Source organism: Homo sapiens, chromosome 7, assembly GCF_000001405.40.
Source record: "Homo sapiens chromosome 7, GRCh38.p14 Primary Assembly".
NCBI classification, from domain to species: domain Eukaryota; kingdom Metazoa; phylum Chordata; class Mammalia; order Primates; family Hominidae; genus Homo; species Homo sapiens.
In genome coordinates, this window is record NC_000007.14 from 27,988,287 (window position 1) to 28,006,254 (window position 17,968).

Below are 17,968 nucleotides of genomic sequence, written 5' to 3' on the forward strand. Positions count from 1 at the left end.
TTTTTAGCATAAGTAAGGCTTTGACAACCAGCCTTTATACAAATCTGTACCCACATCTCTACATTTTCCCCCTTAGGTTAAATTGTAAATTTTTTTTTTTTTTTTTGAGACAGTGTCTCCCCCCATTACCCAGGCTGAAGTGCAGTGGTGCCATCGTAGCTCACTGCAGCCTCAAACTCCTGGGCTCAAACCATCCTCCCGCTTTAGCCTCCCCGTGTAGCTGGGGATACAGGTGTACACTACCAAACCTGGCCAAAACTTTTAAATGTATCACCAAATTGCCCTCCAAGTGAAGTTACACATATGTACACTCTCATGAGTGACATTTGAGTGGCTATTTCCCCATGATCTCTCCAACATCGGTTATTGTGATTTTTTAAAAGACCTTGCCAATGTCATAGGTAAAAAAAATAGCATATCATTGTTTGAATCTATTGTTATTTTCATTATACTGTTTTATTTCTGGTAGAATGTAAAATTGCATACATACTATTTTTACAACTTTATAAAAATACATGGAACACGCATGTTTCAAGTGTGGAAAGAACAACAGAAAAATGTCAGTAGTTGTATGATGGGATTGTAATATAATTCTTTTATGTTGTAAATTTTTTAAATTAAAAAGAATCTCTGTAAAAAAAAAAAAAAAAAAAAAAAAGTTCATATGGAACCAAAAAAGAGCCTGCATTGCCAAGTCAATCCTAAGCCAAAACAACAAAGCTGGAGGCATCATGCTTCCTGACTTCAAACTATACTACAAGGCTACAGTAACCAAAACAGCATGGTACTGGTACCAAAACAGAGATGTAGACCAAAGGAACAGAACAGAGCCCTCAGAAATAATACCACACATCTACAACCATCTGATCTTTGACAAACCTGACAAATACAAGAAATGGGGAAAGGATTCCCTATTTAATAAATGGTGCTGGGAAAACTGGCTAGCCATATGTAGAAAGCTGAAATTGGATCCCTTCCTTATACCTTATACAAAAATTAATTCAAGATGGATTAAAGACTTAAATGTTAGACCTAAAACCATAAAAACCCTAGAAAGAAACCTAGGCAATAGCATTCAGGCCATAGGCATGGACAAGGACTTCATGACTAAAACACCAAAAGCAATGGCAACAAAAGTCAAAAATGGGATCTAATTAAACTAAAGAGCTTCTGCACAGCAAAAGAAACTACCGTCAGAGTGAACAGGCAACCTACAGAATGGGAGAAAATTTTTACAATCTACCCATCTGACAAAGGGCTAATATCCAGAATCTACAAAGAACTTAAACAAATTTACAAGAAAAAAATCAAACAACCCTATCAAAAAGTGGGCAAAGTGTATGAACAGACGCTTCTCAAAAGAAGACATTTATGCAGCCAACAGACACATGAAAAAATGCTCATCATCACTGGCCATCAGAGAAATGCAAATCAAAACCACAATGAGGTACCATCTCACACCAGTTAGAATGGCAATCATCAAAAAGTCAGGAAACAACAGGTGCTGGAGAGGATGTGGAGAAATAGGAACACTTTTACACTGTTGGTGGGACTGTAAACTAGTTCAACCATTGTGGAAGACAGTGTGGCGATTCCTCAGGGATCTAGAACTAGAAATACCACTTGACCCAGCCATCCTATTACTGGGCATATACCCAAAGGTTTATAAATCATGCTGCTATAAAGACACATGCACATGTATGTTTATTGTGGCACTATTCACAATAGCAAAGACTTGGAACCAACCCAAATGTCCATCAGTGATAGACTGGATTAAGAAAATGTGGCACATATACACCATGGAATACTATGCAGCCATAAAAAAGGATGAGTTCATGTCCTTTGTAGAGACATGGATGAAGCTGGAAACCATCATTCTGAGCAAACTATTGCAAGGACAGAAAACCAAACACCGCATGTTCTCACTCATAGGTGGGAATTGAACAATGAGAACACTTGGACACAGGGTGGGGAACATCACACACCAGAGCCTGTCGCGAGGTGGGGGGAGGTGAGAGGGATAGCATTAGGAGATACACCTAATGTAAATGACCAGTTAACGGGTGCAGCACACCAACATGGCACATGTATACATATGTAACAAACCTGCACGTTGTGCACATGTACCCTAGAACTTAAAGTATAAAAAAAAAAAAGGAACTCCTATATAATTAGTAGGTACCTGCTGTCCAACATGGCTGACAATATAAATACAAATAATGAAGGTGAAAATTTCATAGATTCTTATTAGAATATGGCTTAGTATTACACAGATTTGTATATACATAGGTGACATATTTTACCCAAAGTGACAGCCACACTATTAGAAGTCCTATTCAATACCATAATTAATCTATATGCCTGTTCATCCTATTCTCCAATATTAGTAGGCCAATATTATTAGTTATATTAATTCATATAACTTCAATATATAATTAAAAATTTCAAAACCCTTGCTAATTACAGAAAACAATACTGGCTCTGTAAGAAACCCAGAAAAGTGTATGTCTTTATTTTCATTTGATGTAATTTTGAAGGCGTTCTATTTAACACATGTCAAATATTATTGGTAATGAAAAATTGGAGATATTCCATCTCACTTCTTGGGAAGGCTGATAAGCAAGAAATCCAAGGGAGGTATGGAAATAGATGTTTATGTCAATAAATCCTTTTAAAAACATGTTTCATAGAAGAACCTGAAACTGAACAACAGGTGTCTCTAATTCACAGCACTATCTGGGCAAGAATCAATTAAGTTTTCTAAAAAGGCACTCAAATGAAACAGTACAGGTAATTCATTCCCAGCTTTCCACTTCAGACCCTGAACCTCAACTCTGGTACCAAGAGACTAAAAACACTCCTCACCTTCTATAAAAAGACCTATCAATAGAAATTCATTCCCTGAATTATGAGCAGAGAGTTTCTCATTCTCATTAAAAACTAGTTTTGCTTTTACTTTGTCTTTTTTGCTTTGGGACTGTGTGTTTTCTTAACCTAAGTTGATTTCAGTTTCTCTCCAAATATTACTGTCTCCCTAATTATTTGAGTTGGCTGAAACACTAAGTCCTCTTTTAGACCTGATATATCAAGTTTGAAATGGTGCTCTGAAGTTGGGCTCACATGTTCAGTTTAAGTAAAAACTCAAGTTACTCTACAGCTGGGGTCAGTTGTTGAGAATGTTTTTACTAAAAGATGAGCTGCTTCTAAATAACTTTCTGATATTAAATTATTTCAATTTATTATATTCTGATATTACAACAATGTTTTGAATTCATAAAGTACTTCTTCACCTCAGGATTTAAAAGGTTCACTCGAACATAAATCCATTAATCTCCCAAACTGCCCTATGAAGTCAAAAGAGCATATTCTAACTCTGCATATAAAGTACTTCCAAAATGAGCTTATAAATCAGTCATGTTTGCAGCATATGCACAGAGCATTACAATTCAACTTCTCCCTAACAAAGAAACAAGAGCATTCCATATACAGGTTGCTTTTAAATAGTTTCATGCAAATATTTTAAGACTGAAAACATTTTTCCACTCTGTTAAAAAAGATGTGTTTAAAAAGTCAATAAGCAGCAGATATAAGGTTGTTATAATAAATTCTGAAAATGGCTTACCTATTTATGTAACTCAGGGCAACATAGGTTGGCTGCTGTAATTCTTGTTTTTCTAAAACCCGTGGATCTGTATCTGTAATAAAAACACAATTACGATTTTTTTTAGATTTTGCATCAGAATATATGAGGCTACCTAACACAAAGTAACAGAGGCTAAGCAGAGAAAAAGATTAATTTAGTACACCACTTTTTAAAGAAAACTGAGTCGGCGAAGCACAATCATTTGTTCATTCATTCATAAATAACAAGATATTGCATTACTTTTCAAGGGAATTCCAAACATCAACAGTGATAAAATGTCCATCTGTCACACAAACTCTTGCACAATCCCCCTTATAAATATTGGTTTTCACTGCTTACAGTTACAATGTTGGCATGGTTTTTGGTGGTTCATCGGCCTAAGAAAGAAAGTCTCTGTTAATTATGCTCACTTCAATGCTGGAACAAATTAGTTTCCATTGGAAAGCTCCATCAATTTGAAAACCTACTGAGTATTGTTCTTGTTCACGGAACACTTTTCTGCATTTGGATTCATATTCTGAAGGGCAGTTCTTCTCTTTTTAAAATGTATAATGAGTTTATTATAACTTTTCTAGACTCTCAATCAGAAATTCTCATACTGGTTCAGAGTCAACAAACACTACATTCACCAGAGGACTTTTCCCCTCAAAGAGACAGAATTCAACACCATAGCAACGCTTTATAATGGTGCTTCTCCAGCACAGCACCAAAAAGGTACTTTTTTCATAGCCAGAAATGTATTCTCAAACTTCTCACATAGAGAAATGACTGTATAAATATATGTATAAACAATGTTTATGTAATAAGGACATATAAGGAAGAAAATGAGCACACAATTTTAATTTTCTTAGAAAAAGGTTCATAGATTTCACACAGATTTCTTTTCATTATAAACTCACTTCAAACTATCTCATTATTAGAAACCTTCCAGGTGCACTTGGCAGTAACCCCTTCTTTGATGTAATGACAGATGTTGTTTCCAGCACCTTTGCACAGGAAGTGTTTACTGCACATGGTAGATGTAAGCTATGTCCACTAACTCCAAAGTGCATTAACAGGTGATGGGGGGAGGGAAGCAGATACAGTGGCAGAGAACACGGGTGGCAACAATGACAGCATAAAAATCAATTTACAATGCTTTTAACTCCCAGATTAAAACTGGACAGTAGTATCAGTTTTATTCGTGGTGTTAAAATTAAGAATCTCATGTTCACTTTATTGTTTTTTCTATGCCAAGAATTTCAGGGACACACTATTCAGAAATCCTGCCTCCTGGGTCTTTGCCACTGCAGGTCCTTGAAAGCCAAATTCTGAAACAAGAGACAAAGATTCTCTGAATGGCTCCATCAAGTCGGGTCTGAAGGTTTTGGCACTGCAAATGAGAACAGATCAGTAGCTCTGCGCTTCCTCAGTACACATGCAACTGAGGCTATTCCTCGATCTCTGGCCTAGGGATAAAAGGAGTGGTTCTCTAAATAACAAAAAAACCACTCTTCACGGGGAAACGCAGTTTTCAAACGTAACTCTTACTCACACTCATTTAAATTTGCTGTAATCCCAACATATATCCATGCTTCTGAGAGAAAGATACTTGCTGGAGGAGACAGTAGAACAATGTTCAACAAGGAAAGGTGTTTTGTCCAAAGAAATGGCACATTGGTATGCTGGGTGGGCCATTTGTGCAAATGGTGACTGACATGCTAATCCTACAGGGTCTTTCTAGGTGCTTAACGAGGTAAGAAACAAGAAATTAGAGATAAAAATCATGAAAATGAAAAGAAAGGAGGAAGGTAAGAAAGAACAGGGCAATGTAGAAAATTTCTCAAGTGCTCACAAAATGGTTTCACCTCAAGTTTAGGTACTGACGATCAAAGGGCTTTGCTTTTGAGACTCAAAGAGATATCTGGTGCATGATTTAATAAGGTGTATTATTTTGAAAGAAAAGGGCACCGTTAGGAGTCTAAAATTTGTGTGTAAAGGGGAAAAGAGGCCCATAAACATTTTTATAATCATTTGCTTGTCTTCATTCCTGTAACTGACATTCCCCAACCTAACAATATTCCCACAAACCATCTTCTAAAGATTTCTTTTTTTCTCAAATTATATAATTTCTAAAATGTTCTAAATATTACCTCTCCAGACTACCTTGATTTTTATTTTTTCCCGTGTGTATGTGTACAAAGATACATTTATATTATCCTTTTCCTTCTTCAAGCTCTAGAATCTCTTTGGGAAATGGGAAGGAAGTATCTTATACAAATGTCTACAATTTTGTTGCTCAAATAAATGGCATCAGCTCCTGCTGATCACACAAACTGCATCTTGTAATCTTGATTTACAAAAAATCAAGAATGTTTAGCACTTTATTTGCAAAGCAAGGTTTTAAAGTTTTGTTTTCTTAATTTGCTTCATCATCTTTCATAACCTATTCTAGACTTAGGCTCACATATCCTCAAATTGTTAAGTGGGAAACAGACTTCTGGAAGCTTCCAAACACCACCCTCTCCATCACAAAAAAAAAAAAACAAAAAACAAAAAAAAACACACACACACAAAAAACCATTTGGAAGCACCTCAGGTAGGATTCTACTTTTTCTAGAATGTACTCTGGTAACCAACAAGACAGCAGAACTTCTGGACAGACATCCACCAGGTCCCCAAATCTCCTTTTCAAACAAATGTTTCCTTGGGCAACCTTTAGAATATCCATTAAAGTGCTGAAATCTTAAAATGAAATTAGGCACTTGGTGCCCACAAATCAGGAGAGGCCTGCACCAGTGCTACCGGAGGAGTCAAATCAGCTGCTGGTCACAAATAAATGTTGGTTCTGTCACTTGCTTCCTGGCGGGCTGGTGTGTGGGGATTATGACTCACCATTTTATGGATTTAATTATGCTGTTGAGCACTTCACATTCAGTAAAAGTGTAATAGCTGCCTTCAGTATTTCTCCCTCCCTGACAGAAATGTAACTGTCTGATGCTAAAAACTCTCCACAGGATAGGAGGAGAGAGACAAGAGAGTATGATTTTCAGAGCAGGACAGATCCCCACATCCTGCACAATGACATACTCCTCATGAGGATTATATGAGGGCAGAAAGGATACAATCAGAACAAACTGGAAAGAGTAACACTATTCATTAGACATTACTAAATCCAACAGGAAGAATTTCCTTATACCATGCCACATTGTTCAGATATTTTTTGAACATGATAAATCGCTACACTAAGGAATATAATATGAAATGAGATGGCCATGGCACACATTTATGGTGCCGATAAAAATCTGGAACTAGAACATTGGCTACAATTGCCCAGAGATACAATCCACCTCAGCAAATGGTCTATGGAATAAAAGCACTTGGTTTTTTCATAGCCACATGAGGCTCCTTAAGCTTGCAATTTGGCAAGAGAGTAAGCATTTCTATAACATTGCTGTCAACAGCCACATAACAACATTCGACCACTTTCATATCACTAAGAAGTGACAGGAAGATAAACTCAAAACTTCAACTTTTTTTTAGCAGGGCAGGGTAGGGCCAAACACAGCACCGACAGAGATTATGACACTGTTTTCCGCCCTAGACTACTCCTTGCACAGTCCCTTGCATACTCACAGATTTCAGGTTGACTGGAGGATAAAATAATTCACATATTAAAATATATTTTAAAATACCCAAGTGATAAATACCTACACTAGCTTACTTCAAAGTTTCTAAAACATAGCATTCTTGACATTAGATGGCAATGTGTCTATCTTTATTTCAGGGGATGAGATTCTGAATGCACAGCTCTATTATAAGGACTTGGCTATGTAACACTAGACACAGGTACAAATTGAAAGCTTTCTGTAGCTCCTGTGGTCCTAGTAACTTATGGTTTTACAGACTCAATTACATTGCGAAGGGCTGGGGGTCACAGCACTAGCTCCCATTGCTTCTCAAGTGGCAAGGAAACAGCAAGGCAGATAGCAGAAATAAGGAAAGGACAGCATTCAGACCTTTCTCAGTAGGAACTGGAACTGCAACGTGACCAAGGAAAGGCAAACACCACAGACCACCTTATTGTCTCTGTGAAGCCCACGTTGATCCTCTTTGTTGTCTCCAGCACTGGAACCAATGGCCATCAAGCATCAGGATTGCCACGGTTCTGAAGAATTGCCTTTTGCAGTGCTCTTGTCAAGTCTAAACGAAAACTCTATCAGGGTTATTTGCCTGGTCAGGTGAGGCTAATTAACGAGCTCTTGGGCTTTGGCTATGCTTTAGCTGGTCTACATTTTATAACCTGGATTACTTATAATGTAAGAAAGTCAGAAACCAGCCGCACAATGTCTCAACAAAACTAGGGAGGCCTCTAAGGGCAATGTGCTATTCGCAGGCTGGGAGGTAGCAGTGTGGGGAAGATGTGATATCACGCCGTTTGAGAACTTGTTCAAATTCGATATCCTCCAAACACCAGGTTCTTTTTTAACTGTGTACAGCAACAGTGGGAGGCCTGAGAGGATGTGGGTGGGAAGGTAGTAGGGGATTTGCAGTGTTGGAAGACCCTGGGAAGGCAAATGCCCACCCAGCCAGATGAGTAATTTTGAAGATCTGGGCTGGATACGACACTTTTCTTGGGAATCAGCAACAACTAATGGGTGCTGTCTGTTCTTGGCCTTCCCCCAGCTATAGAACTTGTGAAGCCACAGAGTTGTAGACTTTGTTCAGCACAGCCTTCCACAACATTCCGTGTGGAGTTTGCTGCATCCTCCTCTTCCTCACTCTGCACCACTGTGTTCCTAGTGCTAGCACTGCAATTATGCCCCTGGAGGGGTGTTATCAAGGCATATCCTCTCTTCTTTGCACACTTTTCAGAGGTGAAGAACTTGTCTCAACTTCTTTCATTTCTCTGGCACTCAGCTCAGTGCCCTGCATGTAAGAGATGCAAAGTAATTGCTGAATGAATACACTGATCTATTATTTTTATAATGAGAAAATTGAAGGCTTTTGCTTACAGGTAGCAGCTTCATCAAGGGTATTTGTTTCCTTCACCATCCAAAGCCCCACTAAAATAGAAATGAATGAATAAAAAACTAACCAAGGATAGAAGAATGGCAGCAGAGGCATCAGGAAATAAGTTATTTGAACCAGTGTTTTGGAAAATGGAAAACCCATACAGGAGTAGACAAAGACCTAGAGTAGATACAGTCTCAAGTACCTGCAGTGGGGGAGACCCACAGCCAGGATCTGAAGACCCTGCAGAAACCCTGATAGGCCCCAGACTTAGAGGTGTCAGGTATGGCAAAAGGCAAGTGAGGGAAGGTTCAGGCCTGAAAATAGGGGGGTTGTTTAAAAGGTTGATTATCCAGGGACACTAAAGCAAGACACCAACAATAGTGGAGGGAGGAGAGGGGAGAGCGCAGGGCTGAGAAAATAGGGGAGTTAAAATGGAAATATGCCAACTCCACTGCTCCCAATAACAATGGTAACCAGTCAGGAGGATTCTTCTCTGATTCAGTTAAGTGGGTGTGGAGAAAAGACTGCCAATGCCAACATCTGGTGATTCCCTAATTAAACAATCTCCCTACAGTTAAGTGCATGGTCAACAAGCTCCATCCATGCTTCCATCCAGAGCCTCCTAGCAGCTTTTTATTGCTGTGATATATTTTCTTAAGAGTCAAAGTCTTGCTCTATTGCTCAGCTGGAGTGCAATGGTGGAATCAGACCATAGCTCACTGCAGCCTCAAACTCTGGGCTCAAGATATCCTCCTGCCTCATCCTCCTGAGCAGATAGGACTGCAGGTGTGCACCACCATAGCTGAGCAATATTTCTACTTTTTTTTTTTTTAGAGTTGGGGTCTTGCTATGTTGCCTAGGCTGGTCTTGAACTCCTGGCCTCAAGCAATCCTCTTGCCTCGGCCTCCCAAAGTGCTGGGATTACAGTTGTGAGCCAATGAGCTCAGCCTGCCTTAGCTTTAAATATGAACCAAGAACAGTCAAGAAATTGTCTCTAGACATTGGAGGAAAAGTCTTAAACGTGAATGAGAGAAACCAGAACAAACAAATGGGGAGGGCAGGACAGAAAAAAGGAAGGGAGGAAGAGAGGAATGGGGGGAAGAAGGAAGGAAGGAAGGAAGGAAGGAAGGAAGGAAGGAAGGAAGGAAGGCAGGCAGGCAGGCAGGCAGGCAGACATGAGCAAAGTAACAAACACATCAAGGCCTGGGAAGTTAAGTGACATGTTTACTTACACAAACCTGGTACTGGCAGGGCTAGGACCAGAAGCCCTGCGTCCTGAGTCTTATTGGGCCAGCATTTGGACTATTAAAAATGCTGCTTATCCTCTAAAGACATTTCATTGTTACTATCCAGTTCTAACACTGGACTCTGTATAGATAATCTTTTTTATACTTTCTTAAAAGCCCCATAGTTCTGTCGGCTGCAACTTTTACCCCACTTTGAAGACTGAATTTGTTGCATCAACAATTTACAAAGACCAACTTTTAATTCATGGCTAGTTTACTTCAGCTGCTGAAACAAATAATGCTTGTTGGCAACGGCCCTTTAAAAAAAAAATTGTACAATTGCACATAACCAGCCTTTGAATGGATCAACTTTTCCTTAGTTTATAGACATGTCATTTGAAACTTTTCCCAAGCCATAATTTCCATTACAGGGAAGTCAGTGCAAATTTCAGTGAGATTCTTGGTTTCCCAAATTCAATGTGAAATCCAGATGCGGTTAAGTGTTGCTGTAAACTTTATGAGTTAAATATCTAAAAGTCAGGGACACTGTGCAGCACAATAACACCATCTATTAAAACAAGCATTCATATTCACATTTGTAGCCTGAGTTTTCCTGCCACAAGTGAATGAATAAACATTATTCAACCAAGAACTGTTTGGACAATGTTCCATAGCCTAGATCAGCCGGCTGCTGCAACCTTCCCTATTCCTGGCAGACCAGAGGGTTAAAATGATCAAAAATAATTCTGACTAGGATACTTCCCAACTTTACCAATCTATCCAGCTTGTAGAATCATCAATGACTGCTTGAATTTTTCCCCAAGTATAAGATGTATAGTCCTTCTATGAAAATGACACTACCAGTTCACACTCTTCAGTGGTGATGGGGTGTGCTTTGTCCACCCAAGCTCTCGCCTTGTTACTTGTGAGAAAAGAGCCTGCCAGAAACCATAATGGCTGCAAGATATGCTTGTGAAGTATACAGCCTGCATATCTGTATACAGCAGCCCTGGAAACTGGGGTGCTGAGATTAAACAACAATAAAATTCTTTCAAACTGGAGTAAGGCCAAAACTTGGTCCCATTTAATCCTGGGACCAAGTTAATTTGTGTGCACACACAAATAAATATACATGCCTGCTTTCTCCAGAAATGAACCTGATGACAGATCCAAGCAGCATGCAACACAAAAGATCACAAAGAAGCTGGTATACCTCCCCTGCTCATGAGAAGAGCCTATGAGAAGGTATCTGGAAGAGAAGACAGCTGCTTGTGAGTGAGGCTTAGTGACAAAAGAAAAGGCAGGAACATGAGGCTCTCGAATTCATCTCTGAAGGCTGGAAGGCAAAAACCTGTTTATGGAAAGGAAACCTTTCCCTCCTTCTGCCTAACATTGTTTGCCCAAGGAAATCCTACCCATCTTCCAAGGCTTTGGCCCATATAGTACTTTCAGCATGCATTGTACCATATATATTTGCAAATATGTCTTATCAGCCCATTAAAATGGAAGCTCCTTAAGGAACCAGATCTTAGAGGCCACAAATCCTAAGCCCAGTGTTCTGTAAATAATCAGTGTCCATGATGATATATGATGAATACATGAATGAATGCCCTGGACATGCAGTACCACAGAGGATACAAAAGCATTCAGCTCAGACAGCTCTGCCTTGGAGAGTCAGGCAAACAGGAGGGGAAAACAGGCCCATGGTAAATGACTTTACCAGGATATATACTTCCATCAAAATACATCCCACCAAGCACAGATGTTCAGAGGGCTATAAAATGATGTACAATTCACAATAATAAGGGACAGAGGGCAGACAGGGCTAATCTGGGCAGGCTTTACTGATGAATGGGAACTGAGCCAGGTTTTGAAGGGAGTGAGCGTAGCGAATCATTCACAGGTGAGGGCGGGAAACCTAAGAACAGCATAGGGGAGAGGTCTGTGGATACTGTAGAAAAGCAGTGAGTTGAAGAGTATTAGTTGCAGTATTAGTATTAGTTGTAGAATATTTATAGAGACACTTTTTAGAGATACTTCAGAAGAGTGGTTCTGAACTGCAGGCAATTTTGCAGCACCCCCCCGACCCCCCATCCACACCCTGGGATATTTGGCAAAGTCTGCTAACAACTGGAGGGAGGGTTCCAGTATAGTATCTAGGGGGTAGAGGGCAGGGATGCTGCTGAACACCCTACATACGCACGCAGAGTAGCGCCTACAACAAAGAGTCATCTGGTCTAAAATGTCAATAATGTCAAAGTTGAGAAACCCTGCTTTAAAACTACACGAATATTATGAGAAACAGAGCTATTGCTCCTAGATTGCTTCTAGGTGATAATTTGTTGTTTTCTGCAGTCTAAATCAAGAAGCCAGAAGGCTGGTGAGGAGACAACAAGAGAAGAACAACACAGAGGCTGTTTGGACCTAGATAAGTGCTCCTATTTTCTTTTTCTTTCTTTCTTTCTTTCTTTCTTTTTTTTTTTTTTTTTTGAGACAAGAGTCTCACTCTATCACCCAGGATGGAGTAGTGGGATCTCAGCTCACTGCAACCTCTGCCTCCCACGTTCAATCGATTCTCATGCCTCAGCCTCCTGAGTAGCTGGGATTACAGGCATCCGCCACCACACCTGACTAATTTTTGTGTTTTTAGTAGAGATGGGGTTTCACCATGTTGGCCAGAGTGTTCTCGAACTCCTGGGCTCAAGCAATCCACTGGCCTTGGCCTCCCAAAGTGCTGGAATTACAGGCATGAGCCACAGCGCCTAGCCAGTTCTTATTTTCTTAATGGAGACAAATAAATTGAATTCATTTAAAAAAGACATTGAATTCTTGCCATGTTTAGTTGCTTAGGGGAAACTTTAAGTCAGTAGGTTCACAATTGAGCGAAAAAGATGAACAGAATTCACAGTTAACAATAATCTGGCCGGGCGCAGTGGCTCATGTCTGTAATCCTAGCACTTTGGGAGGCCAAGGCAGGCAAATCACTTGAAGTCAGGAGTTCGAGACCAGCCTGGGCAACCTGACAATACTCTACTTCTAATAAAAATACAAAAATTAGCCAGGCATGGTGGCGTGCCTGTAATCCCAGCTACATGTGAGGCTGAGATATGAGAATCGTTTGAACACGGGAGATAGAGGTTGCAGTCAGCCGAGAACGTGCCACTGCACTCCAGCCTGGGTGACAGAGTGAGACCCTGTCTCAAAAAAAACAAAACAAAACAAAACAAAACAAAAAACCTAAACAAAAAAAACCAATAATCTAAGACAGACTACAATGTTTGTCAATATAGAGGAATATACTTACTACTCTAGAAACAAAACATGACTCTCTGTGCAACTGAGAGGAACTTCTTGAAAGAAAAATTTACATAAGCCTTGAACTAAATCTACATTCAGAAAAGATGAGAAAATGATGAGTCTGAATAGAAGACAGTTTGAGCAGATAAACAGAAGTATTTAATAGAAAGGAGCAGGGGGTGGCAAGAAGTCAGTGGGGCTGGAACTTGGCAAGAGACCTGAAATGCAGATTGGGTCACATCACAAAAGGCTTGCAATGCTTTCCAAGAGTTCAAACTTAGTTCTGCAGACGATGCAGAGCACTGAAGGTATAAACTGGTATGGCCCATGTTTTAGAAAAATAACCAGTGGTGGCAGGGAGGACTGGGCGGGGGCGGGAAACTGGGATGTAGAAATATAAGATTCGATGAAAAAGAACTGGAAATAGAAGACTTTTCTTATGTTATAGATCTGAGTATTTCATTACAAAAACAAAGAAGTAACTAGAAGGTGAAAAGGAGTTTGATAGACAAGAATATGAGGTCTGCTTCTGACATGTGGTAAGATATTCTGCAGAACCAAGAAGTCTGGAACTCAAAGGGGAGATAAAAGACTCATGGTATAGATAGGAAGTGAAGTGCTGAAGAATCCCATCATAACACCACACATTCCAACAGACAACTGAACCAAAGCATGTCTCTCAAAACAAAACAATCATATTCCATAAAACCCCAACTACCCTGATTAAAAACTTGCTTATCATATAACTTGGCCAAATACTGGCTGAGAACCTACTAGGCCCAGTGGAATTCCAGCAGGGATTTTTTAAAAGCCAGAGGTTGTGCTGCATTTGAAACCAACTGAATGGTAAATTTCCCAAAAGATGACTATGAAAGACGGGGGGGAAAAAAGAATAGAATAAAAATTGGCCCTGAGTTCAGTTTTGATCTGGTACCCGAGTCTCCAAGGCTTACTATGACAATCGACCTCTTATTGGCACATTTGTTGTTGCATACAAGTCAAACTGCCTCAATTCAATCCTAGCTGTCTAACTTCTTTAAGCCTCAGTTTTTTTCATCCACAAGAAGTTGATAAGGATAGTCCTTTCACCCTAGGGTTGAAATGTGGATTAAATTAGCAAGCATGTTAAGTGTAACTACTGCTCAGTTCTTTAGTCCATAAGGCGTTTTGAAACTAAAACTTGCATTGTTCTGGATTATTTCCATTTTATGTGGCATAATGGTACATAGAAAATCTAAGAATTCATCACTCACTTAAGTGTGGCTGGGACTGCTGGCTGCTGCCCAAGAGCTATTTTCCCCCCTTTCCCTCCATAATGCTTAGAAACATGGCTTCCTGGTATAAAAACCACACTTCCCAGCATTCCTTGAGCCAGGTGCATTCATGTGACTAAGTCTTGGCCAACAGGATAAGGCTTCAGGAAGCCTCCTTAATATGGTAGATTTCTTTCAGGCTGCCTGAAAGAAATTCTGGGTATGAGATAATCTTGTGAATGGAAGTCATACATGGTGAAGCAACACAGTAGGAGTCTGGATCCCTGATTGGGTGAAGCTCTATACTACTCTTGAACTGAGCACCTCCAGCCTTCTTTAAAGTGAAAGAAATAAACTTATCTTCCAATTAAGCCATATATTTGAAGGTTTTTCAATTACATGAAGTCAAACCAAAACTTGACTGAAATACAAAACAACCGGAATTCTGGTTTATTTTGTTGGACCTAAAACTCTCATCTGAAACATGAAATATTTCATGTTTCATTTTATTTTCTTGGATTTAAAAGAAAAAAAAAACCTCTTTAAAAATGTATCATACTAAGTGCAGGGAAAGAAAATCAGAGTAAAATCACACCTGAATCACCACAGCCTCTGTGGCTAACTCTAAACAGGAATGGTTAAAGACTGGGAGAAAGAGGAGGAAAAAATCATCATGTCAAATTATGGCTCTTTTGGTCGTTTTAAGACTTTCTCCAGAATTAGTTATTAGTGGGCAATAATGAAGCAAATTGCACATGCATATTACTTCTGAGTTATGAACAATACAACCAACAGTAACCTTTGAAGCTGTCAGGATCTTTTCAGGCAGGCAATTAAAGTGAAAAATGAGTGTGCGCACAACTTCCATCACCCAATACTACATGTAATAACACCACCTACAAACACTGACATAGGAGTGGGGCTCAGTCTGAATATTTATTAATGCAGATCTGTTCCCATTTGTTCCTCTCCATTTCCTATAACCTATCCCACCTCCACCTGCCAAAATTTTTTTTTCTTTAAAGGGCAGCTCTGACATCATGCATCACATTTACCTGAAACCTACATGCACCGTGACATCTCTCCTATCTGCACTGAAAGAAATTTTCCTCCCTTTCCCTTGACTCAAATATAAATTTAGGACAAGCTGGGAGTCTAGAAGGAAAAGAAGTCTATAAAGAAGTAAGCCCAATCAGGAAAACACAAAATAAGATGAAAATAATCAATAATGGATATTTACAGATGGCCAAATATATACGTCAAGTATTGGGTGCTAGGCATTGAAGGTCCTCCTGCCTGCCCCTACCCACCCCTGCCAACACACATACAAAAAGGTCTCAGCTCTCAAGCAGACTGGACTATAGAGGATGTGACTTATATTGATCTAAGAATAATCTAGTGTAGAAGTATCAGCTTTTCTAATAAAGTGTAAGAATCACTATTTGCATGTTTTGTGATTTAAGTACCTGGACTTTAGAGAAATGGCAGGGATAACCAGAAAGGGGGGGTACCTGATGAGCCAGTTGGAGTAGGTGTTCCCAAGCTAAGAAGAAACACCCATGCTACAGGCTTAATACCTGACGCCTATGATCCCATCTGTGAGTTTGTCTCCTGTGGTTTCAGCCATTTCTAAATCAACAAGAGCCTAGAGGGCCAATGGTTTCTAGCCAGAACTGCCCATTATTATCACCTGGGTAACTTAAAAAAAAAAAAAGTCTGATGCCAAGGACCCATCCCCAAAGATTCTAATATGCAGTCAGGGTTGGCAATTACTATTACAGACTCTGAGAAGGCTCAGAAACTGGAAAAGGGATAGAGAACTGGTTGGGAAAGTTATTTACACCAATTTGCATCTCTCCCACCCTTCCAAACTAAAAAGGCAATTGTGAAACTGGAAAGGAACTACTGGAAGTGATTTAAAAGTTGTATAAGTCCGACATCCAGTGAAATAATTTTTTTTTTTCTTTTCTGAGATGAAGTCTTGCTCTGTCCCTCAGGCTGGAATGCAGTGGCATGATCTCAGCTTACTGCAACCTCCGCCTCTTGGGTTCAAGTGATTCTCGTGCCTTGGTCTCCCAAGTAGCTGGGATTACAGGTGTGCACCACCACACCTAGCTAATTTTTGTATTTTTAGTAGAGATGGGGTTTCGCCATGTTGGCCAGGCTGGTCTCGAACTCCTGACTTCAAGTGATTTGCCCACCTCAGCCTCCCAAAGTGCTGGGATTACGGCGTGAACCACAAGACCTACCTGAAATCATTAAATTTTGACTTCACTTGGGACTCAGGTTTATTTCCACCCCTTTCACTTTCTATACAGAAAGTATTAAGCTTAGTAATTATGTAGACAAGTTAGTGTTTTCATGTATTTCGAAAACCAAATCACAATCTTTGAATTGTGATATGGTTTTCATCTATTCAGTAAGGGTGTTCTGACAAGACCTTTGACTGGGAACCATTTATTTTTCTTCACAGTATGTGCCTACAATTAATAAGACCACATCACTTTAGTTGTTCTGTGGTTCAGAATTTTCTGTAAGTCAGATTGGCCAGAACCACTGTGGTTTTCCTGTGCTGTCATTATTCACCTTGGTAACAAATCAGGCTGTATCCAAGTATATTAGTTTTGTATTTCGGAAGCCAGTTTTGTCAAGGATTTGACAAAAGGAATTGCCTTCGTTACTTCCTATCTCCCAGGGAAGCCGAATCATTGCTTAAAAAAAAAAAAAAAAGTCACAGGAGAAAGAGCTGAACATCTGGACACAGACTGACTGGATGGCCCTGCCTAAGAGTTATCAAATGTAAGTGCACATAGGTCACAGCTTACTCAGGTCAAATTCTGGTCCAAGAGGCTCTGCCAGGCTGGCTAGAGCATTATGCCTGCCGACTCCACACCCAGGTGGCAGCCAGGAACACAGTGTTCAGGTTCGTGGGCCACAGAGGTTATGTGCTAGCTGGGGATTTATCGTTCCTGATTCTGTGCAAGTTGTGTATTCATTCTACTTGCTAATGAGTAGGGGAGCATGCTGAGCTGTAACTCAATTGATCTCGCTGATGGTGTGAATTTGGGTGTCTGGGAAGTCCCTGGACCTTCTCAGTTATCTGGCACTTGGCAGATGGCTCCTGACAATCTTGGCTTCTGTGGAAGGACTTCTGGGAATTAACTCTGGACTTTCTGTTGCTTAAAAAAAAAAAAAAAAAGGCTTAAATTTCTTTAGACAATGTAAGATGGTAGTTACTGACAGTCTGCTACTTTCTGTGTGACTTGAGCAAGTTTCTCAGCAGATAAAGATGACAGTGACTCATGGCTCCTACACATGAAGAGGTTATTAAGAGGATTAAAAGAGATAAGCCATAGACAGCACAGAGCACAGTGGCTGGTACATGATAAATACTTAATAAATCTTACCCACTAGGGGCCAGGCTCAGTGGCTCATGCCTGTAATACCAGCACTTTGGGAGGCAGAGGCAGCTGGATCACCCCAACTTGGTGAAACCCCATCTCTACTAAAATACAAAAATCAGCCAGGCGTGGTGGTGTGCTCCTGTAGTCCCA

General features: G+C 39.9%; 1 protein-coding gene across 5 annotated transcripts in view; it reads right to left on the bottom strand.

Annotated features, from left to right (window-relative positions):
- Positions 1-17,968, bottom strand: part of JAZF1 (JAZF zinc finger 1) — a 350,219-nt gene that overhangs the window by 157,710 nt on the left and 174,541 nt on the right. For all 5 annotated transcript variants that reach the window (NM_175061.4, XM_047420026.1, XM_047420025.1 and 2 more), the window contains exon 2: positions 3,623-3,695. In NM_175061.4, coding sequence (NP_778231.2) covers positions 3,623-3,695 — 73 coding nt within the window. The remainder of the gene's footprint in view (positions 1-3,622; positions 3,696-17,968) is intronic.